The sequence below is a fragment of the Homo sapiens genome, chromosome 17 (genome assembly GCF_000001405.40).
Source record: "Homo sapiens chromosome 17, GRCh38.p14 Primary Assembly".
In the NCBI taxonomy this organism is placed as follows: Eukaryota; Metazoa; Chordata; class Mammalia; order Primates; family Hominidae; genus Homo; species Homo sapiens.
In genome coordinates this window covers 60702635-60728211 of record NC_000017.11, presented here as the reverse complement: position 1 = coordinate 60728211, position 25577 = coordinate 60702635, and the positions used below count along the sequence as shown (strand labels likewise).

Genomic DNA, 25577 nt, shown 5'->3' with positions numbered 1-25577 from the left:
GGATGTGTAGGGCAGTGAGAGTATTCTGTGTGATATTACAATGGTGGATACCTGTCATTATATTATCTGTCAAAACACATAGAAAGTATACCACCAAAAACCAGGCCGGGTACGGTGGCTCACACCTGTAATCCCAGCACTTTGGGAGGCCGAGGTGGGCAGATCACTTGAGGTCAGGAGTTCCAGAACAGCCTGGGTAACATGGCGAAACCCCATCTCTACAAAAAAATAGAAAAATTAGCCAGGCATGGTGGCATGCACCTGTAGTCCCAGCTACCCAGGAGGCTGAGGTGGGAGGATCACTTGAGCCTAGAAGGCAGAGGCTACAGTGAGCCAAGATCGCACCACTGTACTCCAGCATGGCCAACAGAGCAAGACCCTGTGTCAAAAAAAAAAAAAAAGGAAAAAAGTATACCACCAAAAATGAATCCTACTGTAAGCTATGGACTGTGGGTAACAATAATATATCAATGTATGTTCATGGATTGTAACAATTTTACCACTGTGGTGCTGGGGGTGTTGACAGTTGGGGAGGTTGTGCACGATGTGGAGGCAGGAGGTATACGGGACCTCCGTATACTTTCTACTCAGTTTTGCCGTGAACCTAAAACTGCCCTTAAAAATAAAGTCTGTTTTTTCCTTTCCTGTCAGGCGAGAGCTTTGCGAGGCGAGAGTCTCAGATGCCATTTCTCGTTTTCATCACATAGACGGAACAGCCCTGCTGCAAAGATGGTCAACGTACCTAAAACCCGAAGAACCTTCTGTAAGAAGTGTGGCAAGCATCAGCCTCACAAAGTGACACAGTATAAGAGCAAGGATTCCTTGTATGCCCAGGGAAAGAGGCGCTATGATCGGAAGCAGAGTGGCTATGGTGGGCAGAGAAGGCCAGTTTTCCTGAAGAAGGCTAAGACCACAAAGAAGACTGTGCTAAGGCCAGAATGTGTTGAGCCTAACTGCAGATCCAAGAGGATGGTGGTCATTCAGAGATGTAAGCATTTTGAACCGGGAGGAGATAAGAAGAGAAAGGGCCAAGAGATCCAGTTCTAAACTTTGGGATATTTTTCTTTTAATTTTGAAGAGAAAATGTTGAAGCCATAGAAAAATTACCTGAGAGAAAATAAATACAGTGATATGTTTAAAAAATAAATAAATAATTTTTTTTTAAAGTCTGTTTTTTAAAAGGTATCTGTTAAAGAACTTGACCTAGTTAAATATAGCCCTTAATTTTTTCAAGTGTAAAATAAGACTAACACTAACTAGTAAAATTGACAGGATAATAAATAATATATGCAATATGCCTAAAACAATGTATGGTGCATTCTGAATATTCCAGTTATAACAATTTTTTTTCATATTCTACGAAATTTTACTAGGCAGCACAAGTGTTAAAACTCCTCCCTCTTGGCCAGTAGCAGTGGCTCACGCCTGTAATTCCAGCACTCTGGGAGGCCGAGGCAGGCAGATCACGAGGTCAGGAGATCAAGACCATCCTAGCTAACATGGTGAAACCCCATGTCTACTAAAAATACAAAAAATTAGCCTGGCGTGATGGCGGGCATCTGTAGTCCCAGCTACTCGGGAGGCTGAGGCAGGAGAATGGCGTGAACCTGCGAGGCGGAGCTTGCAGTGAGCTGAGATCGCACCATTGCACTCCAGCCTGGGCAACAGAGTGAGACTCTGTCTCAAAAAAAAAAAAAAAAATTCCTCCCTCTGGCTGGGCGCAGTGGCTCATGCCTATAATCCCAGCACTTTGGGAGGCCAAGGCGGGCAGATCACCTGAGGTCAGGAGTTCGAGACCAGCCTGACCAACATGGAGAAACCCTGTCTCCACTAAAAATACAAAATTAGCCAAGAGTGGTGGTGCATGCCTGTAATCCCAGCTACTCGGGAGGCTAAGGCAGGAGAATCACTTGAACTCGGGAGGTGGAGGCTGCAGTGAGCCGAGATCGTGCCACTGCACTCCAGCCTGGGCAACAGAGTGAGACTCTGTCTCAAAAAAAAAAAAAATCCTCCCTCTGGCCGGGAGCAGTGGCTCACGCCTGTAATCCCAGCACTTTGGGAGGCCAAGGCGGTCTTATCACCTGAGGTCAGGAGTTCGAGACCAGCCTGACCAACATGGAGAAACCCTGTCTCCACTAAAAGTACAAAATTAGCCAAGTGTGGTGGTGCATGCCTGTAATCCCAGCTACTCGGGAGGCTGAGGCAGGAGAATCGCTTGAACTCAGGAGGTGGAGGCTGCAGTGAGCCAAGATCACACCATTGCACTCCAGGCTGGGCAACAAGAGCGAAACTCCGTCTCAAAAACAACAACAATGACAACAACAACAAAACTCCCTCAGGTCTGATCCTGGATTAAAAAACAAAAAGAAAAAAAAACCCTCCCCCAGGCATCCTGTCATTCTTTGGGGGCTCTACAGCACTGTATTCATACCTCTATCCTAATACTGATCACACAGACCAAGGTTTTTCAACCTCAGCACTACTGATGTTTTGGACTGAACAATTCTTTGTTCGAGGAGTCTGTCCTGTATATTATAGGATGTGTAGCAGTATCTCTGGCTTCTACCTACCACATGCCAGCAGCAATCCCCAATCATGACAATGAAAAAAATAGCCAAATGGCCCCTTGGAGAACAAAATCACTCCTGGTCGGGAACCACTGACACAGACTGCAAATATTTAGTGACCTTTCCCCCAAGTAGGAAATTATCGCCTCAAGACAATGCTCACATCTTACTTTATTTGTATCTCGTAATACTTGACATAGACCCGAACATTTCAGTGTGGCTGAATGGAAAAATTATGGTACTATTCTAATAAAAATATAGATGTTAGCAAGAAGGGCTAGAGTGGAAATAAAATAGATTTAAAGCAAAGAGCAAGAAATTGGGAAGTTTATTTTGGGACTTTCTCAGATTGAGTTTCTAGCATATTTAGAATTCAAAAGCAGACAATTAAACCAATGAAAAAATAGAGTATAAGAATTACTACACATCTATGGTATTATTCCAATTAATTGGGTAAAGAATGGTCTTTTCAGGAAATGGTGCTGAATCAATTGAGTATCACTATTCTAAAAATAGAGATAAATAAGAAATAAGGCTTAGGCAGATGGACTGCTTTGGGCCAGGAGTTCAAGGCCAGCCTGCGTAACATAATGAGAGCCCCTCTCTACAAAAAAAACTTTTTTTAAGTAGCTGGGCATGGTGGCACATGCTTATAGTACTAGTTGCTCAGGAGTCTGAGGCAGGAAGATCACCTGAGCCCAGGACTTGGAGGCTGCAGTGAGCTATAATGGCACCACTGCACTCCAGCCTGGGCAACAGAGTGAGACTCTGTCTCTACAAAAAAGGAAATGAAACAAAAAAGAAATAACCCTGACCCCATCTCATACCACACATATACAAAGCTGTTTTTTTTTTTTTAATGAATCTTAAACCTAAAGGTAAAAACAACAACCCACTAAAAGAAAATGAATTTTTTTTTTTTTTAGAGGAAGTCTCACTCTGTTGTCAGGCTAGAGTGCAGTGGCAATCTTGGCTCACTGCAACCTCCCACTCCTGGATTCAAGCAATTCTCCTGCCTCAGCCTCCCAAGTAGCTGGGCTTACAGGTGCATTCCACCACACCCGGCTAATTTTTGTATTTTTAGTAGAGACGGGGTTTCACCGTGTTGGCCAAGATGGTCTCGAACTCCTGACCTCAGGTGATAAGACCGCCTCCGCCTCCCAAAGTGCTGGGATTACGGGCATGAGCCACCGCATCCGGCCTTTTTTTTTTTTTTTTTTTTTTGAGACAGTCTCACTCTGTCACCCAGGCTGGAGTGCAGTGGCGCGATCTCAGCTCACTGCAACCTGTGCCTCCCGGGTTCAAGCAATTCCCACGCCTCAGCTACCCAAGCAGCTGGGATTACAGGCACACACCATCATGCCCAGCTAATTTTTGTATTTTCAGTAGCGAACTGTTTCACCATGTTGGCCAGGCTAGTCTTGAACTCCTGACCTCAAGGGGCCCGCCTGCCTTGGCCTCTCAAAGTGCTGGGATTACAGTCATGAGCCACCACACCCAGCCTAGAAGAATATTTGCATGTCCTTAGAGTAAACAAAGATACAAAAATAATAATAGAGTAAAAGATAAAAAATCGGAACCAGATTTTTTTCATCAAAAGAAAATTTTAAGAAAGTGAAAAAGTAGGCCGGGCACGGTGGCTCACGCCTGTAATCTCAGCACTTTGGGAGGCCAAGGCAGGTGGATCACAAGATCAGGAGTTCAAGACCAGCCTGGCCAATATGGTGAAACCCCGTCTCTACTAAAAATACAAAAAAAATTGGCCAGGCATGGTGGCGGGTGCCTGTAGTCCTAGCTACTCAGAAGGCTGAGGCAGGAGAATCACTTGAACCTGGGAGGCAGAGGTTGCAATGAGCCGAGATCGCACCACTGCACTCCAGCCTGGGCAACAGAGCGAGACTTCATCTCAAAAAAAAAAAAAAAAAAAAAAAAAGAAAGAAAGTGAAAAAGTAACAATAGCTATAAAGTAGACTATTGGGACAATGGATGAAATTTGAATATGAACAATAGTTTCCACAATACTACTGCATCAAATTTAAATGTCCTGGGCTTGATGACAGTGCTATGGCTATATATTTATTTGTAGGAAATTATACTAAATAATTTATGAAAACAGGCAAGGCACAATGAATGGCTCATGTCTGTAATCCTAGCACTTTGGGAGGCCGAGGCGGCTGGATCACTTGAGGCCAGGAGTTTGAGAAGAGCCTGGCCAACATGCCAAAACCCCGTCTCTACTAAAAATACAAAAAATTACCTTGGCATGGTGGTGCATGCCTGTAGTCCCAGCTACTCAGGAGGCTGAGGCAGAAGAATTGCTTGAACTCGGGAGGCAGAGGTTGCAGTGGGCGAAATCACGCCACTGCACTCCAGCCTGGGCAACAGAGCAAGACTCCATCTCAAAAATAATAATAATAATTTATGGAAATTATGGTTCAGAAAATATATGCATAGATACAGAGACTGAAAGAATGACAAAGCAAATAAGGCAAAATCCGTAATTGGTGAATCTCCACAATGAGTAACAGGAATACCTTATATACATTATAAAATTTTCTGGAAGTTTGAAATTTATTGCAAAATAAAAAGCATTTTTTGAAATAGGGTCTTGCTGTGTCCTGTGTCGCCCAGGCTGGAGGGCAGTAACGTGATCATAGCTCACCACAGCCTTGATCTCCTAGACTCAAGTGATCCTCTCCCCTCAACCTCCTGAGTTGCTGGAACCACAGGCACATGCCACATTTTTGGTCAAGACAGGGTCTATGTTGCCCAGGGTGGTCTCAAACTTCTAATCTCAAAGGATCCTCCCACCTCCTCCCAAAGTGCCAGGATTACAGGCATGAGCCACTGTGCCCAGCCTAAAAAGCATTTTTTTTTTTTTTTTTGAGACAGAGTCTCGCTCTGTCACCAGGCTGGAGTGCAGTGGCGCAATCTCGGCTCACTGCAACCTCCACCTCCCAGGTTCAAGTGATTCTCCTGCCTCAGCCTCCAAAATAGCTGGGACTACAGGTGCCCACCACCATGCCTGCCTACTTTTTGTATTTTTAATAGAGACGGGGTTTCACCATGTTGGCCAGGATGGTCTTGATCTCTTGACGTCGTGATCTACCCACCTCAGCCTCCCCAAGTGCTGGGATTACAGGCATGAGCCACCGCACCCAGCCCCCTAAAAAGCATTTTTAAAACCTCACAGAAGATATCAACACATCCGCAACAGAATGGCCAAAATCAAAAAGACTGACAATACCAAGTGCTGCTGAGGATGCAGGACAAACAGAACTTCCACATAATTCTGGTGAGAGTACAAAGTTGGCAAAAACACTTTTGAAAACTATTTGGCAGTACCTACTGAAGGTAAACATGTACTTATCCTATGACACAATAAATCTACGCCTAGGTCAACACCCAAGACAAATGAGTGTTTACGTACACCAAAAATTACCATTTTTTGTTTACATCCATGAAAAATTACCATATATAAGAATTTTCAGAGCAACTTTATTAATAATACTCAAAAACTGGGAACAAAAATGTCTATCAGTCATATAATGGATTTTTCAAAATTTATTGTATTCATATGATAGATACAACACAGCAAAATTAATGTTACACACAATAGCATAAAAACAAATCTTACAGTCATAATGTTAAGAGACAAGCCAGAACATAAGAGCATACCTTTTAAATCTATGACCATATTTCTTAGACATTCAAGAATAGAAAAAAAGAATCTATGGTGATAGAAGTCAGAATAGCAGAATAATGGTTACTTGGAGGTGGAAAGAGGGTAGTACTGCCAAGGAAGTGGCACAAGGGATTCTTTTGAGGTACTGGAAATATTCTAGATCTTAATCCAGGATGATGGTTAGAAGGTTATATATATATATATTTTCAGTCTGTACACTTCAGATTTGTGCATTTTACTGTATGTATATTCAATAACATTTATCAGAAAAAAATTGCATTCCACAGACTTATAAATCAGCTTAGGTCCAAATAATATATTGTTTTAGAGTAGAAAATCATCAAAAAGATCTCAAGTAAGAAAGAGTCCAACTTACAATGATAAATTTCAAACTCACAGTAATGTCTACTGCCTATGTCAAATCAACAAGAGTCACGCCACTATTCGCACACAGGGAAAAATTAAGTTTCAGATGCAAGAGTTCTCTGGAGTGATACTTTAAGAAACATACTACAGGAAAAGATATTTTAATCCACCAATATGGTTAAATTCCAGAAATTACTTCAGTATTACTCTTCATTTCTGCTTTTATTCATCCATAACAACCAATGTCCTCCCACTGTATCTACAGTCTAAGGATCCACCTATTCTCTTTCCAGGAAGAAGAGAATGCACCAAACAAAATAAGGTCCTATTCTCAACAAAGGCAATTTTTTTCACTGGACTTCATCCATATTCAACCTCTCTCTGCTTGCCAGTGTACCCAAATCACTAACTTTATATTACTCCCAAATGAAACCCATAAAAACTGTTTCCTGGCTAACAATCTTAACATGGCAAGGTCTATTGGCACCCAACCTCTAATAAATAGTAGACTAATTGGCATTTACCTCAAGAATGCCCTTGCATATTTGCTCTAAAGCTTTTAGTGTATAAAAACTACACAAAAAGCTTTAGGGCAAAAATTTCCTTTCAAGGAGCAGCCGCACTTTTCTTAGCTCAATGTGGTAGCGACACCTAGTGTTAGGTCATTGAAGTACCGCATATACACAGCTCCAAGAAAACACTACAAATACTAACTTTTGAAAAGAAAATACAGTCATCTCTCTGTATTCACATGGGGTTGGTTCCAGAATCCCTGTGGACACCAAAACCTCCAATGCTTAAGTCCCTTTTATAAAATGGCATGGTATCTGCACATAACCTATGCATATAAAACCTATGCACATCCTCCTATATACTTTAAATCATCTCTAAATTACTTACAATACCTAATACAATGTGCTATGTAAATAGCTATACTGTCATTTTTATTTGTGTTATTTTTTATTGTTGAATTATTTTTTACTTTTTTCCCAAATATTTTCTATCCATATTGACTGAATGCACGTATTCAGAATCCATGGATATCCAGGGCCAACTGTATACTGTTTCACACAATACAACTGCCATATTTTAGGTGATGTAATAAATATATTCTCCATTTTTTAAGAAAAAAATAAGCATTTCAAAAGAAGATAAGACGCTGGGCGCAGTGGCTCATGCCTGTAATCCCAGCACTGTGGGAGGCCAAGGCAGGAGGATCACTTGAGCTCAAGAGTTCAAGATCAGACTGGGCAAGATGGCAAAACCCCATCTCTACAAAAAAATATATATATACAAAAATCAGTTGGGCATGGTGGTGCACACCTGTGGTCCCAGCTACTCGGGAGGCTGAGGTGAGGGAATCGCTTGAGCCCAGGAAGCGAAGCCGTGATTGCACCACTGCACTCCAGCCTGGGTGACAGAGCAAGACTATGTCTCAAAAAGAAAAGAAAAGAAAAGAAAACTAAGTTGCCATTTAAACAGATAGCAAAAAGTATGCGAAAATATCAGAAGACTTTTACCACTGAAACTTTAAGTGAGAACCCTTTATTACTTATAAGACAATATGCTATACAATTTTTGCTTTACATGATTTTTAACATAGTGTAAGTCTAATAATCAAATTCTATTTCTGCTAAAATGATGCCATCTTTCATACTAAGCAGCACTGGTCCCCAGGTCAAGACTCTGGAAACATCTTTAACTTTCTTCTCTTCTAAACGTCTAACCACTTACCATGGTTTTTGGTAATCCTCTCACAACAACAAACTTAGTTCAGGCTCTCAACATCTAACATTTAGACAGTGTTGAAATTCACTCCTAACTAGCCTTATAACCTTTTCTTTTCTCCTGCTATTCATCCCACTGCAACCACAAAATCAATATTACAGACAGCTTTTGGAATGTATGTTACCAAAAGATTCTCAACGAGTCCAAATTATTATGGCTGAAAGAATAAGTTCAACTCCTCATCCTGCAATTCAAATCTCCTCCTTGAAAATTCTGTATCTTATTCTCATGACTACAAAGAATGTATAATGCTAAAATGAATGTTAATAATCACAGAAATGTTATTTGTGTGAAATAAAATAATACATGATTGCATGTCTAAACATACTCATCAAAAACTCCTTCTCCAACTGGATGTCTTGATGATAGTGTTTTTCAAACTGTTTGTCATAAAAGACGAATTATTTTTTGATTTTTCTAAAAGTTGGCACAAATGATACTTCTGTAAACTATATACATATGTTTGGATAGTGTGCACTGGCGAATACTATAGGTTTTGAAAGGCTTACTCTCATTTTCTGCACTTTACCTTTTTGCTGCCAATAACAAACGATTCGCTATCACCAGTTTATGGACCAGCAACAGTCTATGGTTCACACATTTAAAACCAAACTCACTACCTTTCCACCCAAATCTGCTCTTCACATACCTTTCTTATTTTTAAAAGTGATATTACCTCTATTCAAAAATCCTCCAATGGCTTCTACAACTAAGTTTTTTTGTTTGTTTGTTTTTGTTTTTTTTGAGACAGAGCCTCGCTCTGTCGCCCAGGCTGGAGTGCAATGGCGCGATCTTGGCTCACTGCAAACTCCGCTTCCTGGGATCACGCCATTCTCCTGCTTCAGCCTCCCAAGTAGCTGGGACTACAGGCACCTGTCACCATGCCTGGCTAATTTTTTTGTATTTTTAGTAGAGACTGCGTTTCACCATGTTAGCCAGGATGGTCTCGATCTCCTGGCCTCGTGATCTGCCCACCTCGGCCTCCCAAAGTGCTGAGATTACAGGCGTGAGCCACAGCACCCAGCCTACAACTAAATTTTTTAATGGGCAAAAAAATTATACAAATAATTGCTAAAATATATATAAATGGCCAAGAAACATGAAAAAGTACTCCACATTATTAGTCATCAGGGAAATGGTAATGCTAAATGAATCCTCAAGGTATCACCTACCAAAATAGCTAAAATTTAAAAGATCACAAAAATTCGCCAGGCATGGTGGCATGTGCCAGTAATCCCAACTACTCAGGAGGCTGAGGCATGAGAATCAACTGAACCCATGAGGTAGAGGCTGCAGTGAGCAAAGATAGCATCACTGCCCTCCAGCCTGGGCAACAGAGCAAGACTCTGTCTAAAAAAATTTAAAAACTAACCAAATATTGAACTCTAGTTAATTATATGCATGCAAAAGTAGTTAGGGGAAAGCATGTTGATGTTTGCATTTCCTCTGAAATGCAATGAATAAGATGGATGTGAGACAAAGTACAGTAGGCAGCTGTATGAACCCCTTCTGGTTCTGAGGGTTGCCTGAAAAAAAAACTGGAAAAAAAAAAGTATAGTAAAATTTTAAGGGTATATTCTAGTTGAGGGGTCCCCCAATCCCTGGGCCAGGTACTGGTTACAAACCAGGCCTCACAGCAGGAGGTGAGAAGCAGGCAAGCAAAAGCGAAGCTTCAACTGTATTTACAGCTGCTCTCCATCGCGCACATTACTGCCTAAGCTCTGCCTCTTGTCAGGTCAGCAGCAGCATTAGATTATCATAGGCGCGCGAACCCTAACGTGAACCGCGCATGTGAAGTGTCTAGATTGTGTGCTCCTTATGAGAATCTAATGTCTGATGATCTGTCACTGTTTCCCATCACCCACACATGGGACCATCTAGCTGTGGGAAAGCAAGCTCAGGGCTCCCACTGATTCTACATTATGGTGAGTTGTATAATTATTTCATTATATATTACAATGCAATTATAATAGAAGTAAAGTGAACAATAAATTTACTGTGCTTGAATCATACTGAAACTATCCCCACCCTGTGGAAAAACTGTCTTCCACAAAACCGGTCCCTGGTGCCAAAAAGGTTGGGGACTGCTGCTCTAGATGGCGGGTATAAGTAATTTCACCGTAAAAGTCCAACTTTGCTGTATATTTGAAATTTTAGATGTCCTTACAAGGGCGAAAACAAAGCCCTAGCCAACTGCTAACTCTTGGACATAATCTCTTATTCTTTGCTTTGCTCTCCTAACTCCAGCTAAACTGCCTCCTTGCTGTTCTTAAATATAAGAAACATATTCTGCCGGGCATGGTGGCTCACGCCTGTAATCCCAGCACTTTGGGAGGCCCGGGAAGGCAGATCACTTGAGGTCAGGGGTTCAAGACCAGCCTGGACAACATGGCGAAACCCCGTCTCTACTAAAAATACAAAAAGTACCCAGGCGTGGTGGCGCATCCCTGTAGTCCCAGCTACTAGGGAGGCTGAGGCAGGAGAATCGCTTGAACCTGGGAGGTGGAGGTTGCAGTGAGCCAAAACCACGCCACTGCACTCCAGCCTGGGTGACACAGAGAGACTCTGTCTCACAAAAAAAAAAAAAAGAAGAAGAAGAAGAAGAAAAGAAAAAGAAAGAAACATATTCTGCACCTCAGAATGTTTGTACTGGCTTGGAGTGTTCCTCCCTCAAATACCCATATGGATAACTTCACACCACTATGTCACTGGGTCTTTGAGAGGCTTTCCCAGACCATCGTATATAAAAGAGCAACCCACAGCAACAACAACCACCCTATCTATCACCATCTAACATGATACATATTTATTATCTATCTTCCCCACCTACCAGAATGGAAATTCCACAAAGAGAATGACTTTGTTTTGTTCAGTGTTGTCCCAGCACCTTCAACACAGTCTGGCATGTAATAGACAATTAATAAATCTTTGCTGAGTGAAAGAATTAATAAATATATGGGGTAAGTATAACTGACATGGCTGGAAAAGAATGTAATTTGGAAAATCTATTAGGAGCCTTACTTTTATTGATCTCTCCAAATTATATGACCATAAAGATATTTATCTCAATATTATTATTATTTTTTTTTTTTTGAGAGGGTCTTGCTCTGTCACCCAGGCTGGCGTGCAGTGGTGCACAGGTCACTGCAGCCTTGACCTCCTAGGTTCAACTGATCCCCCTGTTTCAGCCCTAATTTTTGTGGTTTTGGTGAGATGGGGTCTCACCCAAGCTGCTCTTAAACTCCTGGCCTCAAGCGATACACCACCCTCAGCCTCCCAAAGTGTTGGGAGTATAGGCGTGAGCCACCATGCCCAGCTACAATGCTCTTTAAAGAGAAAAAATTTAAGAAATCTAAATCAATTTCTAACTATGGAGAAAAGAATGCTTTCATCTCAGAGCCTCTGTTTAGTGTTTATTGTTCCAGTCTTACCCTAAGTATTTTTTAGCTTATATGTCACTTCCTTGTCCTAACATGTCATGCTTTTTTTCATATTACAACTTAAGTTGTATATCCATTTATTTTTATTTAAATCTCTCTCTCCTACTAGCTCCATGACAGCAAAGACCACATCTATTGTGCTTACCCCTGTATATCCCAGACATGTGCTGAATAAATGAACACCGTTTAAATCTTCATAGTTCGTGGCTGTGCGCGGTGGCTCACGCCTGTAATCCCAGCACTTTGGGAGGCCGAGGCGGGCACAGCACAAGGTCAGGAGCTCGAGACCAGCTTGACCAACATGGTGAAACCCCGTCTCTACTAAAAATATAAAAATTAGCTGGGTGTGGTGGCGCATGCCCGTAATTCAAGCTACTCAGGAGGCTGAGGCAGGAGAACTGCTTGAAACTGGGAGGCAGAGGCTGCAGTGAGCCGAGATCACACCACTGCACTCCAGCCTGGGTGACAGAGCAAGACTCCATCTCAAAAAAATAAAATAAAATAAAAAATAACTTCATAGTTCATGGCACCAATCAATCTTAACACTGGGAGAAAAAAAACTTCAAGAAGTATGATATTTTGAGGTGGGGTGTGGTGGCTCACACCTGTAATCCCAGCACTTTGGGAGGCTGAGGCAGGCAGATCACTTGAGGTTAGGAGTTCAAGACTGGCCAATATGGTGAAACCCCATCTCTACTAAAAATACAAAAATTAACCGGACATGGGGCGTGCACCTGTAATCCCAGCTACTCATGAGGCTGAGGCAGGAGAATTGCTTGAACCCAGGAGGCGGAGGTTGCAGTGAGCTGAGATTGCGCTACTGCACTCTAGCCTGAGTGTCACAGAGAGACTCCATCTCAAAATAAAAAATAAATAAGAAGTATGATATTTTGAAATAATTGAAATAAATACTAAAATGACAATAACTAGTAGATTTGAAAGAGTGATGAAAGAAAGAGTATACACGTTGGGAGGTCTAGGCAGGCAGATCACTTGAAGTCAGGAGTTTGAAACCAGCCTGGCCAACATGGTGAAACCCCGTCTCTACTAAAAATTACAAAACAATTAGCCGAGTGTGGTGGCGCACACCTGTAATCCCAGTTACTTGGGAGGCTGAGGCAGGAGAACTACTTGAACCCCAGAGGTGGAGGCTGCAGTGAGCCAGGATCATGCCACTGCACTCCAGTCTGAGCCACAGAGCAAGACTCTGTCTCAAAAAAAAAAAAAAAAAAAGAAAGAGAAAGAGTACAGAACTTCATTTGTTTCATATTTGAATCTCACGAAACTATTTGGTTTTTAAAATATATACAAAGATAATTTTGATTTTTTTAATTAAGAATTTTAAGCAAGAAAGCCTATATTTACCTCACCAAAAAAGAGTCAATAACATTGTTAGGGATGGTTGAGAAAAGGGGTTGTTTATCTGGAACGCCCACATAACAATCATTCTATGTTACATCTGGTGTGTTGAAAGAAGGGCTCTGACAGCTCAGGAAAGCTAGGAAAGCTGGTGTCATGTACAAAGCAGTAGAGATTGGGCAGTAAACTACTGCACAGTTCTGCTTTTGAGCTGACTCTAATTAATAATATTCCTAGACATCATCTAAGTTCCATTCACATCTACACACTTCAATAGACAATTTTTTAAAATGTTTAACCAGGATATGCTTATTTTCTTAACCTGAGACTCCCAGGTGGGACAGTTTTGTCTTTATGAGACAGTCTCACTCTGTCACCCAGGCAAGAGTACCGTGGTGCAATCTCAGCTCACTGCAACCTCCGCCTCCTGGGTTCAAGCAATTCTCCTGCCTCAGCCTCCAAAGTAGCTGGGATTACAGGTGGCCACCACCATTTTTGTATTTTTAGTAGAGACGGAGTTTCACCATGTTGGCTAGGATGGTCTCAAACTCTTGACCTCAAGTAACTTGCTTGCCTTGGCCTCCAAAGTGCTGGGATTACAGACATGAGCCACCGCGGGACAGTTATATTAAACTCAACAAGAGGGAGTCCTGAGCATATACTAGAAGCAAAAACTAAGCTAAGGTTTGGACAGGGGTTGATTTTCTGCCCACCTACACTTACTCAAAAGCAAATATATGGCCAGGCATGATGGCTTACATCTGTAATCCCAGTGGTTTGGGAGGCCACGGCAGGAGGACTGCCTGAGGCCAGGAGTTCAAGACCAATCTGGGCGACATAGTGAGATTTCATCTCTATTTTTAAAAAGCAGGCCAGGCACGGTAGCTCACGCCTGTAATCCCAGCACTTTGGGAGGCCAAGGCAGGTAGATCACTTGAGGTCAGGAGTTCGAAACCAGCCTGGCCAACATGGTGAAACCCCATCTCTACTAAAAAAAATACAAAAATTAGCCTGGCATGGTGGCTCACACCTGTAGTTCCAGCTACTCAGGAGGCTGAGACATGAAAATCACTTGAACCCAGGAGGCAGAGGTTGCAGTGAGCCGAGATCACCCCTCTGCACTCCAGCCTGGGCAACAGCGTGAGACTCAGTCTCAAAAACAAACAACAAACAAAAAAAGCAAATGCAAATGCAATTGTCCATCAGCATCTGTGCTGACTGGTTCCACAAACCACCCATGAATACCAAAGTCCATCATGCTCAAGTCCTTTACATAAAATGGCATAGTATTTGCATATAACCTTTACACATTCTCTCATATACTTTAAGTCATCTCTTAATTACCTATAATACCTAGTACAATGTAAATGCTATGTAAATAATTGTTATACTGCATTGTTTAGGAAATAATGACAAGAAAGAAAACTCTATACGTGTTCAGTACAGACACAACCATCCTTTTTTTAATTCCAAATATTTTCAATCCACAGTTGGTTGAATCTGCAGATGCGCAACACACGTATATAGAGGGCCAATCGTATTAATTACAGACTATAAAGATCCATGAGAGTCATTTTTTTCTAGGTTGGCCAACATAGGCTCCCCACTGTCTAGCATATATGCTCATGTAATGAATAATGGTTATAAGTTTCAGAAGGGTTCTGACAGAGTAATGGCTAACAAAGTAAAATGTAAAAGATAACTATGAGTATTTGAAGGTACATACTAATCTTTTACAAATGAAAACACTGGGGCTCAGAAAACGATATTCCAAATTCTGGCATTTTGGCATGCTGAGCATTTTGAGCTAAAGGAAATTAAAAGGCCTCAGAAGTCCTCAGAACCAAGGACTTTCTGGTGTTCTCCTGCTTCTCCCTCACAAGCACAAGGAGGGACTCTCTCAAGTTCCCTTTCCTGAAGCTCTTCTAGAAGGAACACAATTGCCTCCCTCTCCCCTTTCTGAAATTTCTTCAACCAGAGAAGATTAATCTCAAATTACAGGATGGAAAACCGAGAAATGACACCACACCTAGACAGACTTTGTCACAGGCTATCATCTCTGCTCAGGTCCCACTTCCCAAGTGAATCACTTAGAAACAATTTTCTGCTCTTTGGGCCCATTCAACTTTCCTGAGAATGATTTACTAACTCTCAAAACTGACGACATTCCTCCATCTCCTTCTCCCCTATGAAGAGAGCACTATGTAAGCTTCAGCCATTTGGCCCTTCTTTGAGTCTCATATTTTATGTGGCTCTCATGCATGTGTATGCTTTTTCTCCCATTAGTCTATTGTCAATTTATTTCAGAGGGAGAGGGGATAATTCCCTTCACCTCTACAAAAACTAAACCTTAACTACAAAACTACTCACATGTCATATCTTTAGCAATCACATTTGAAAAGTGATGAAGTATAGCTCTTAGATCATGGGCTTTGAATTTGAATTCAGACAGAACTAGGTTTAAATTCTAGTTCCACCTCTTAAAAGCAGTGTGACCTTACCACCTGTAAAACAAGGTAACTTCTACATTAGATGAGATAATATGTATATAAACCTCTTTGACCATAATGAGAGCTCAATGAAATATAAGAAGCTTATTTTCCCAGATTGTCTTTTTTTTTTTTCCTTCCCAAGACAAGATCTCACTCTGTCACCCAGGCTGGAGTGCAGTGGCATAATCATGGCTCACTGCAGCCTCAACTTCCCAGGCTCAGGCAATCCCCCTGCCTCATCCTCCCGAGTAGCTGGAACCACAGGCGCATGCCACTACGCCTGGTTAATTTTTAAAAATTTTTTGTAGAGACAAGGTCTCACTATGTGTTTTTGTTTTTGTTTTTGTTTTGAGACAGAGTCTCACTCTGTCACCCAGGCTGGAGTGCAGTGGCGCAATCTTGGCTCACTGTAACCACCGCCTCCCGGGTTCAAGCGATTCTCCTGCCTCAGCCTCCAGAGTAGCTGGGACTACAGACATGTGCCATCATGCCCGGCTAATTTTTTTTTTATTTTTAGTAGAGATGGGGTTTCACCATGTTGGTCAGGCTGGTCTCGAATTCCTGACCTCAAATGATCTGCCTGCCTTGGCCTCCCAAAGTACTGGGATTACAGGCATGAGCCACCGCACCCGGCTGGTCTCACTGTGCTGCCCAGGTTAGTCTCAAACTGCTGACCTCAAGTGATCCTCCTGCCTCAGCCTCCCAAAGTGCTGGGATTACAAGCGTCAGCCTCTACACCAGGCCCTAATTCATGAAATAGTGGTACTACAACAATATACACTTGGCCAAAGAAAATTCTATCAAAAAAAAAATTATTCAAGTCTCTCAAAATATAATCTAGGCATAAGGAGAAATAAAGACCTTAATTACTCAAAGATAAACAGAAATTAACTTTAAACTATTAAAATTAATATCCCCAATTATAACCAAAACAAGTGGGCAGTTAAAACAACCTGAATACCACCAAAGGAATGTGTTCAATCCAGTCAACACCCCTAATCACACAGGCTCAACCCTCTTGTTAAAGGTATAACTTCCTCTGTCTTCAGTACTGTCAACAAACAGCATAATGAAGCAAAATGTAGTCTCTATTAATAAGAAAAAGTTACATTTACAAAACCCTTTTGTTTTATCACAACCTAGAAATATTTCTCTCCGTAAGAAAAAAAAACACTGCCAAATTTTAAGTACTTTCTCCACGCCTTTGGAACAATACCAAAATTACAAAGAACATTGAGGGACCTTGAAAAATGTCAACTACACTTCCCAAAAGTCAAAAGAAAAAGAATACTTCTAATTTCATGACATACCAGCACGATTCTTCTATCTCCGCAAAGTAAAGCCAAGTTAAAAAAAAAAAAAAAATCCCACATCTTAGATACTTAATAATATGATAATTATAAGAATAGAATTGGCCAGGCACAGTGGCTCATGCCTGTAATGCCCACACTTTAGGAGGCCAAGTAGGAGGATCACTGGAGCCCAGGAGTTCGAGACCAGCCTGGGCAACACAGTAGGACCCTGTCTCCATTAAAGTGTTAAAAATTAACTGGGTGTGGTGGCACGTGCCTGTAGTCCCAGCTACTCCAGAGGCTGATGTGGGAGGATCGCTTGAGTCCAGGAGGTGGAGGATAGAGTGAATTACAATCATGCCACTGCCCTCGAGCCTGGGTGACAAAGTGAGACCCTGTCTCAAAAAAAAAAAAAAAGAACAGAATGGAACACCAAACTTCATCAGAAGTGACTTATCAAAAAATAAACATTTTTTTAACTTAAAAAATGTTGGCCAGGCATGGTGGCTCACACCTGTAATCCCAGCACTTTGGGAGGCCAAGGCGGGCGGATCACGAGGTCAGCAGATCAAGATCATCCTGGCTAACGTGGTGAAACCCCATCTGTACTAAAAATACAAAAAATTAGCCAGGCGTGGTGGCGGGCGCCTATAGTCCCAGCTACTTGAGAGGCTGAGGCAGGAGAATGGCGTTAACCCGGGAGGCAGAGCTTGCAGTGAGCCGAGATTGCGCCACTGCACTCCAGCCTGGGCAACAGAGTGAAACTCTGTCTCAAAAAAAAAAAAAAAAAATGTTAAAGAATTGAAAGGTGAATGTGCTTGTTCCTTAGTAATTCTTAGACTACTGAGGTCAAATTCTGTACTTGAGAATATCCTGACTTCCATTAAATCTGAGGTAATACATGTTTGCTTATACATCATTCAAGGAGCAACAATATCACCCAAAAGAAAAAGAGAAAAAAATTCTGGCTGAAACACACATACACACATACTCATGGGGCTTCAAACAAGTTTCCTGAATACAATTATTAAAGGTATAAATTCAACTTCTACTGGCCCAGAGCCTCCGACTGCAAAAGAATCACACAACAGAAGTCCTGTCATCTCAGCTGGGTGCAGTGGCTCATGCCTGTAATCCCAGCATTTTGGGAGGCCAAGGTGGGAGGACTGCTTTAGTCCAGGACTTCAAGACCATCCTGAGCAATACAGCCAGACCCCATCTCAATTAAAAATAATAAGCCCACTCATCTACTGGAAGATAATTATTTAGATTATGCCAAATAATGAAATATAAGTGAAATAAGCCAAAATATGCAGTATTTACTACATCTCAACAAATGCACTGCTCCCATGCCTCTTCTTCATTTAGGACATTTTATGTTTGGTCACCCAAAAAAGGCACATGTAGGAGTCCAAATGCAAAATAAGACCAATATTATGCAATGTAAAACATATATCAAAATTACAAATGCACTTAGCCTTTGACTCAGTAACTCCATTGAAAGGAATTTATCCTATAAAGATACACAGACATATGCTGGGTGCAGTGGCTCACGCCTGTAATCCCAACACTTTGGGAGGCTGAGGCAGATGGATCACCTGAGGTCAGGAGTTTGAGACCAGCCTGGCCAACATGGCAAAACCCATCTCTACTAAAAGTACAAAAATTACCTGGGTGTGGTGACACATGCCTGTAATCTCAGCTACTCGGGAGGTTGAGGCAGGAGAATCGCTTGAAGCTGGGAGGCAGAGGTTGCAGTGAGCCGAGATCGCACCACTGCATTCCAGCCTGGGCGAAGAGTGAGACTCTGTCTCAAAAAAAAAAAGTATCTACAGATTTCACATAAGCTAACATGCTGGGAAGTATGTTTTAGGTATTCAACCACATGTGTACTTACAGGGATGCTCCAGACCTGCATTCCATCACTGTAGCCAATCATAATCAACAAAGGCGGTTCATTCCCAGTACTATGTATTTCATGAAATTCCAGATTTCTTGATGTATCTGCATTAGAATTAAGTAACAAAGAAGCAAATTTAAAAGACATAATGGCAATCAAGAAAACAACTGTATTTCTTTAATGCCTGATTCAATCTTTACACCTGTCTAGCAACCATCCTCTCTTCTCTTCATAGCCAGAATTCTCAAAGTTGTCCATCCTGGCTATCTATTTCCTTATATATCTGTCATTCCTTGGCCCATTTCAACATAGCTTCTAGCCACACCATTTAAATAATATCAAACATTTAAGGAAAAAAAAACAGGGCTGGGCATGGTGGCTTACACCTATAATCCCAGTATTTTGAGAGGACGAAGTAGAAGGATCACCTGAGGCCAGGAGTTCAAGACCAGCCTAGGCAACACAGCAAGATCCTGTCTCTATTTCAAATAAATAGGCTGGGCCCGGTGGCTCACATCTGTGATCCCAGCACTTTGGGAGGCTGGGGCAGGCAGATCATGAGGTCAGGAGTTCAAGACCAACCTGGCCAATGTGGTGAAACCCCATCTCCACTAAAAACTACAAAAATTAGTCGGGTGTGGTGCCGCACCTGTAATCCCAGCTAATGGGGAGGCTGAGGCACAAGAATCTCTTGAACCCAGGAGGCAGAGGTTGCAGTGAGCCAAGATTGCACCACTGCACTCTAGCCTGGGTGACACAGCAAGACTCCGTCTCGAAAATAGTAATTATTATTATTATTAGCTGGGCTTGGTGGCACACACTTACAGTACTAGATACTCTGGAGACTGAAGTGGAAGGAGCCTTTAAGCAAAATAATTCAAGGCTGTGGTGAGCTATGATGGCACCACTGTACTCCAGCTTGGGTGACAGAGTAAGGCCCTGGCTCTAAAAATAATAATAACATCAATTCTCCACAAACTTTTTTTTTTTTTTTTTTTGAGACAGAATCTCACTCCTTCATCCAGGCTGGAGTACAGTGGTGCCATCATAGCTCACTGCAGCCTCAACCTTCTATGCTCAGGTGATCCTCCCACCTCAGCCTCCCAAGCAGCTGGGACTACGGGCATATGCCATAATGCCCAGCTAATTTTTTGTAAATGTTTGTAGAGACAGGGTTTCGCCATGTTGCCAGGCTGGTCTCAAACTCCTGAGCTCAAGCAATCCACCTGCCTCGGCTTCCCAAAGTGCTGGGATTGCAGGTATAAGCCATCACTTCCGGCCTTACACACTTTTCTAAAAAACAGAAGAGAAGGGAATAAGCACCAAATCGTTCTGAGGCAACCAAAACCAGACTAAGAAATTACAAGAAAACTATAAATCAATCCACCTCATGAATGTATATATAAAAATACTTTACAAAGACTAGCAAATTGAATCCCACAATATAGAAAGGATAATCAATCACTAAAATATAGGGTTTATCCCACAAATGTAAGATGGTTTAACATCGGAAAAATCAATTATCATTTGCCAACATTAACAGAATAAAGGCAAAAAATCATATGATCATTTCAATATATGTTAAAAAAGCATTTGCTAAAATGCAATAGTTATTTTATTTTTAAAAACTCAGCAAATCAAGAATAAAGGATGTCTATGAAAATACTAAGCTAACACCATATTTATGGTAAAAGACTGAATGCTTCCTCCCTATGAGGCAGAACAAGACAAAGATGCCTAAACTTAAAACTTATATTCAACACTGTACTAGAGGCCCTAGACAGTGCAATTAGGAAAGAAAAATAAATGATGTAAAGATTGGAAGGGGAAAAGTACACTTGACCCTTGAACAATGTGGAGGGTAGGGGTGCTAAGTACCCCCCATCCCCCAATGCAGTCAAAATCCACGTATAGACTGAGTAATCCCGGCACTTTGGGAGGCCAAGGTGGGCATACCGCTTGAGCCCAGGAGTCTGAGACCAGCCTGGGCAACATGGCGAAACCCCATCTCTACAAAAAATACAAAAATTGGCCGGGCGTGGTGGCTCACACCTGTAATCCCAGCACTTTGGGAGGCGGAGACAGGCAGATCACCTGAGGTCGGGAATTCGAGACCAGCCTGACCAACATGGAGAAACCCGGTCTCTACTGAGAATACAAAATTAGCCGGGCATGGTGGTGCGTATGCCTGTAATCCCAGCTACACGGGAGGCTGCAGCAGGAGAATGGCTTGAACCCAGGAGGCAGAGGTTGAGGTAAGCCGAGATCAAGCCATTGCACTCCAGCCTGGGCAACAAGAGCAAAACTCTGTCTCAAAAAAATAATAATAATAATACAAAAATTAGCTGGGCTTGGTGAAAAGCACCTGCAGTCTCAGTTGCTGGGGAGACTGAAATGGGAAGATAGCTTGAGCCCGGGAGGTCAAGGATGCAGTATGGTGTGATCATACCACTGCACTCCACTCCAGCCTGGGTGACAGAGTGAGACCCTGTCTCCACCAAAAAAAAAAAAAAAAAAAAGTATAGTGTAAGTTTTTGGGGTTGTTTTGTTTTGTTTTGTTTTTTGAGACAGAGTCTTGCTCTGTTGTCCAGGCTGGAATACAGTGGCACAATCTCAGCTCACTGTAGTCTCCACCACGCCTGGCTAATTTTTGTATATTTAGTAGAGATGGGGTTTTGTCATGTTGTCCCAGCTGGTCTTGAGTGCCTGGCCTCAAGAGATCCATCCGCCTCGGCCTTCCAAATTGCTGGGAGGGAATAAAGGCATGAGCCACCATGTATAACTTTTGACTCACCCAAAAACTTAACTGCTAATAGCTTACTGCTGGCCAGAAGGCTTACTGTTAAAATAAAGTCAATTAACATATATTTTGTATATGTTTTATATACTGTATTCTTCGAATATACAGAAGAGAAAATATCCATTAATGGAAGTGGATCATCAAAAAAAGTCTGCATCCTGCTGGGTGCGGTAGCTCAGGCCTGTAATCCCAGCACTTTAGGAGGCTGAGGAGGGTAGATCACCTGAGTTCAGGAGTTCCAGACCAGCCTGGCCAGCATGGTGAAACCCCATCTCTACTAAAAATACAAAAAATTAGCCGGGCGTGGTGGTGGGTGCCTGTAATCCCAGCTACTCGGGAGGCTGAAGCAGAAGAATTGCTTGAACCCAAGAGGTGGAGGTTACAGTGAGCCGAGATCACACCACTGCACTCCAGCCTGGGCAACAACAGCGAAACTCCATCTCCATAAAAAAAAAGTCTTCATCCTTGTCTTCACAGTGAGTAGGCTGAGGAAGAGGAAGAACAGGAGGGGTCGGTCATCTCCCTCAGGGGTAACAGAGGCAGAGGAGATGGAGGAGGTGGAAGGGAGGGCAATAGAGGCAGGCACACTCAGTATAACTTTATGGAAATATACTGTACTTCCTCTCTGACATTTTTGCAAATTTCTCTAAAAATGTTTCTATACAGTACCAATCCTTCTTCCATCATTTGCTTTCATTTCAGTGCCAGTATTATAGAAAGATCTATGTCTAAAAGAAGCCAAAAGCAGTCTTAAATAATTGGAAGCTTTCTGGCAGACTGTCTAACATCAGTCTTCTGGCACTGTTTCCTCTACATCTTCTTCCTCATCATCTGGCACTGGTTTGGAAGCACTGAGCTCCATCAAGCTGTCTTCTCTTAACTTCTCTGGTGTGGTGTCTTAGTTCTTGAATTTCTCCAAAACAGATATCTTGAAATGCTTCACATCTCATCTTTTTTGCCATATCTACAACTTCTTTCATGATTTTCTTTTCTTTTTTTTTTTTTTTTTTGAGACAAGTCTCACTCTGTCACCCAAGCTGGAATACAGTGGCATGATCTCAGCTCACTGAAACTCCGCCTCCCAGGCTCAAGCGATTCTCATGCCTCAGCCTCCCAAGTAGCTGGGATTACAGGCGCCACCACATCTGGATAATTTTTGTATTTTTAGTAGAGACAGGGTTTCGCCATGTTGGCCAGGCTGGTCTCGAACTCCTGACCTAAGGTGATCTGCCGTCCTGGGTCTCCCAAAGTGCTGGGATTACAGGGATGAGCCACCATGCCCGGCCCTCTTTCATGACTTTCTTGATGGTATCTATCGTAAATCCTGTAAGTCATGCAAAACATTTGGACAGTTTTCCCCAGCAGGAATTTATTGTTTCAAGCTTGCTGACTTTCATGGTTATTTCTGTAACATTGATGGCACCTTCAATGGTGTGATCCTTCCACACTTTCCTGATGTTCTATCAGGGTTCTCTTTCACAGAGTTGACAATCCTTTCCATAGAGTATCATGTGTGGTGAGCCTTAAAAGGTCCATGTGGCCCTTTGATCTAGAGGCCCAACAACAAGATAGAGACACCGTGTCTGGGGGCAAGTAGACCACTTCCATACTTTTGGGGTTGAATTCATGACATTTCTGGTGGCCATGGGCACTGTGCAATATCAATAAAACTTTTTTTTTTTTTTGAGACTGAGTCTCACTCTGTCTCCCAGGCTGGAGTGCAGTGGCACAATCTCAGCTAACTGTAACCTCTGCCTCCCTGGTCCAAGCGATTCTCCTGCCTCAGCCTCCTGAGTAGCTGGGATTATAGGCACGCACCACCATGCCCGGCTAATTTTTGTACTAGTAGAGATGGGGTATCACCATGTTGGCCAGGCTGGTCTCGAACTCCTGACCTCAAGTGATCCACCCACCTCGGCCCCCCAAAGTGCTGGGATTACAGGCGTGAAGCACTGCACCCAGCCTCAAAAAAAACTTTAAAAGGCAGTCTCTTACTGGCCAGGTACTTCCTGACTTTGGGAACAAGCATCAATGGAGTCAATCCAGAAAAAGGGTTCCCACTGTCTAGGTCTTCTTGTTATACAATGAAAAGACTAGCAGCTGCTGTTTATCTTTTCCCTCCAAGGCTCAGGGGTTAGCAGCATTATAGATAAGGACAGTCCTGATTATAAACTTGACTGTATTTGCACAAAACAATAGAGTTAGTCTATCCCTTCCTGGCGTTAATTCCGGGTGTGCACTTCTCTTCCTTACTAATAAATGTCTTTTGTGGCATTTTTTTCCCAGAATAGGGCACTTCTCTCAGCATTAAAAAACTCGTTCAGGCAGATAACCTTTCTCCTCAATGATTTTCTTAATGGTATCTGGGAACTCCCCTGCTGCCTCTTGGTCGGCAGAAGTTGCTTCTTTTTATCTTGACATTTTTTAAACCAAACTTCTTTCTACAATTATCAAACCACCCTTTTCTGGCATTAAATTCTCCAGTTTTAGATTTTTCACCTTCCTTTTGCTTTAAGTTGTCATATAATGACTTCGCTTTTTCTCAAATCATATTAGAGTCTATAGTAAGTCTTTCTTTTTTTTTTCTTTTTTTCTTTTTTTTTTTTGAGACGGTGTCTGTCTTCGTTGCCCAGGCGGCTGGAGTGCAGCGGCATGATCTCGGCTCACTACAAGCTCCGCCTCTCGGGTTCACGCCATTCTCCTGCCTCAGCCTCCCGAGTAGCTGGGACTACAGGCGCCCACCACCGCGCCCGGCTAATTTTTTGTATTTTTAGTAGAAACGGGGTTTCACCATGTTAGCCAGGATGGTCTCGATCTCCTGACCTCGTGATCCACCCGCCTCGGCCTCCCAAAGTGCTGGGATTACAGGCGTGAGCCACCGCGCCCGGCTAGGTAAGTCTTTCTTACAGCATCCTGCACCCATGTAAAAGCTGCATTTATTTTAATTAATTTTTTTTTTTTGAGACAAGGTTTCACTCCCATTGCCCAGGCTGAAGTGCAATGTGCTATCTCAGCTCACTGCAACCTCTGCCTCCCAAGCTCAAGCGATCTCCTGCCTGGGAATACAAGCATACGCCACCACATTCAGCTAATTTTCATAAAGACGGGGTTTTGCCATGTTGCCCAGACTAGTCTTGAACTCCTGAGCTCAAGTGATCTGCCCGCCTCAGTCTCCCAAAGTGCTGGGATTACAAGGGTGAGCCACCGCGCCTGGCCTAAAAGCTGCATTTTCTTTTTTTCTGTTTTTTGAGACAGAGTCTCACTCTGTCGCTCAGGCTGGAGTGCAGTGGCACGATCTCAGCTCACTGCAACCTCCACCTCCCGGGTTCAAATGATTCTCCTGCCTCAGCCTCCCAAGTAGCTGGGATTAGAGGCACCTGCCACAACACCCAGCTAATTTTTGTATTTTTAGTATAGACGGTGTTTCACCATGTTGGCCAGGCTGGTCTCAAACTCCTGGCCTCAGGTGATCCACCCACCTTGGCCTCCCAAAGTGCTGGGATTACAGCCATGAGCCACCGCGCCCAGCCTGCATTTTCAATATGAGATAAAAAAGTATTAAGCAAAATGTGCAAGGTTTTGGTGCCTGCTGGTGTCACTGCAATGACAGCATCAAGAATTTCCTTTCCTTGGACTGAGCATGGTGGCTCACGCCTGTAATCTCAGCACTTTGGGAGATGAAGGTGGGCGGATCACTTGAGCTCAGGAGTTTGAGACCAGCCTGGGCAACATGGCAAAACCCCATCTCTACAAAAAAATACAAAAATTAGCCAGGCGCTGTGGCACACGCCTACAGTCCCAGTTACTTCGGAGGCTGAGGTGGGAAGATTGCTTGAGCCCCAGAGGTGGAGGCTGCACTGAGCTGAGACTGTACCACTGCACTCCAGC

At 42.6% G+C, this 25577-nt stretch overlaps 1 protein-coding gene and 1 pseudogene across 8 annotated transcripts in view, besides 1 other annotated feature; one reads left to right on the top strand and one right to left on the bottom strand.

The window, feature by feature from the left end:
* The window catches only part of BCAS3 (BCAS3 microtubule associated cell migration factor), a 714981-nt gene that overhangs the window by 664620 nt on the left and 24784 nt on the right, over nucleotides 1-25577 (bottom strand). For all 8 annotated transcript variants that reach the window (NM_001353144.2, NM_001353145.2, NM_001330413.2 and 5 more), the window contains exon 5: nucleotides 18887-18993. In NM_001353144.2, coding sequence (NP_001340073.1) covers nucleotides 18887-18993 — 107 coding nt within the window. The remainder of the gene's footprint in view (nucleotides 1-18886; nucleotides 18994-25577) is intronic.
* On the top strand, nucleotides 715-1090 carry RPL36AP46 (ribosomal protein L36a pseudogene 46; annotated as a pseudogene).
* Nucleotides 21065-21255: a silencer, noted in NCBI's record as "fragment chr17:58784318-58784508 (GRCh37/hg19 assembly coordinates)". NCBI's record gives its function as "represses an EF-1alpha promoter that drives an FKBP-Casp9 reporter gene in an ReSE screen in K562 erythroleukemia cells {active_cell/tissue: K562}" and the evidence as "EXISTENCE:reporter gene assay evidence [ECO:0000049][PMID:32094911]".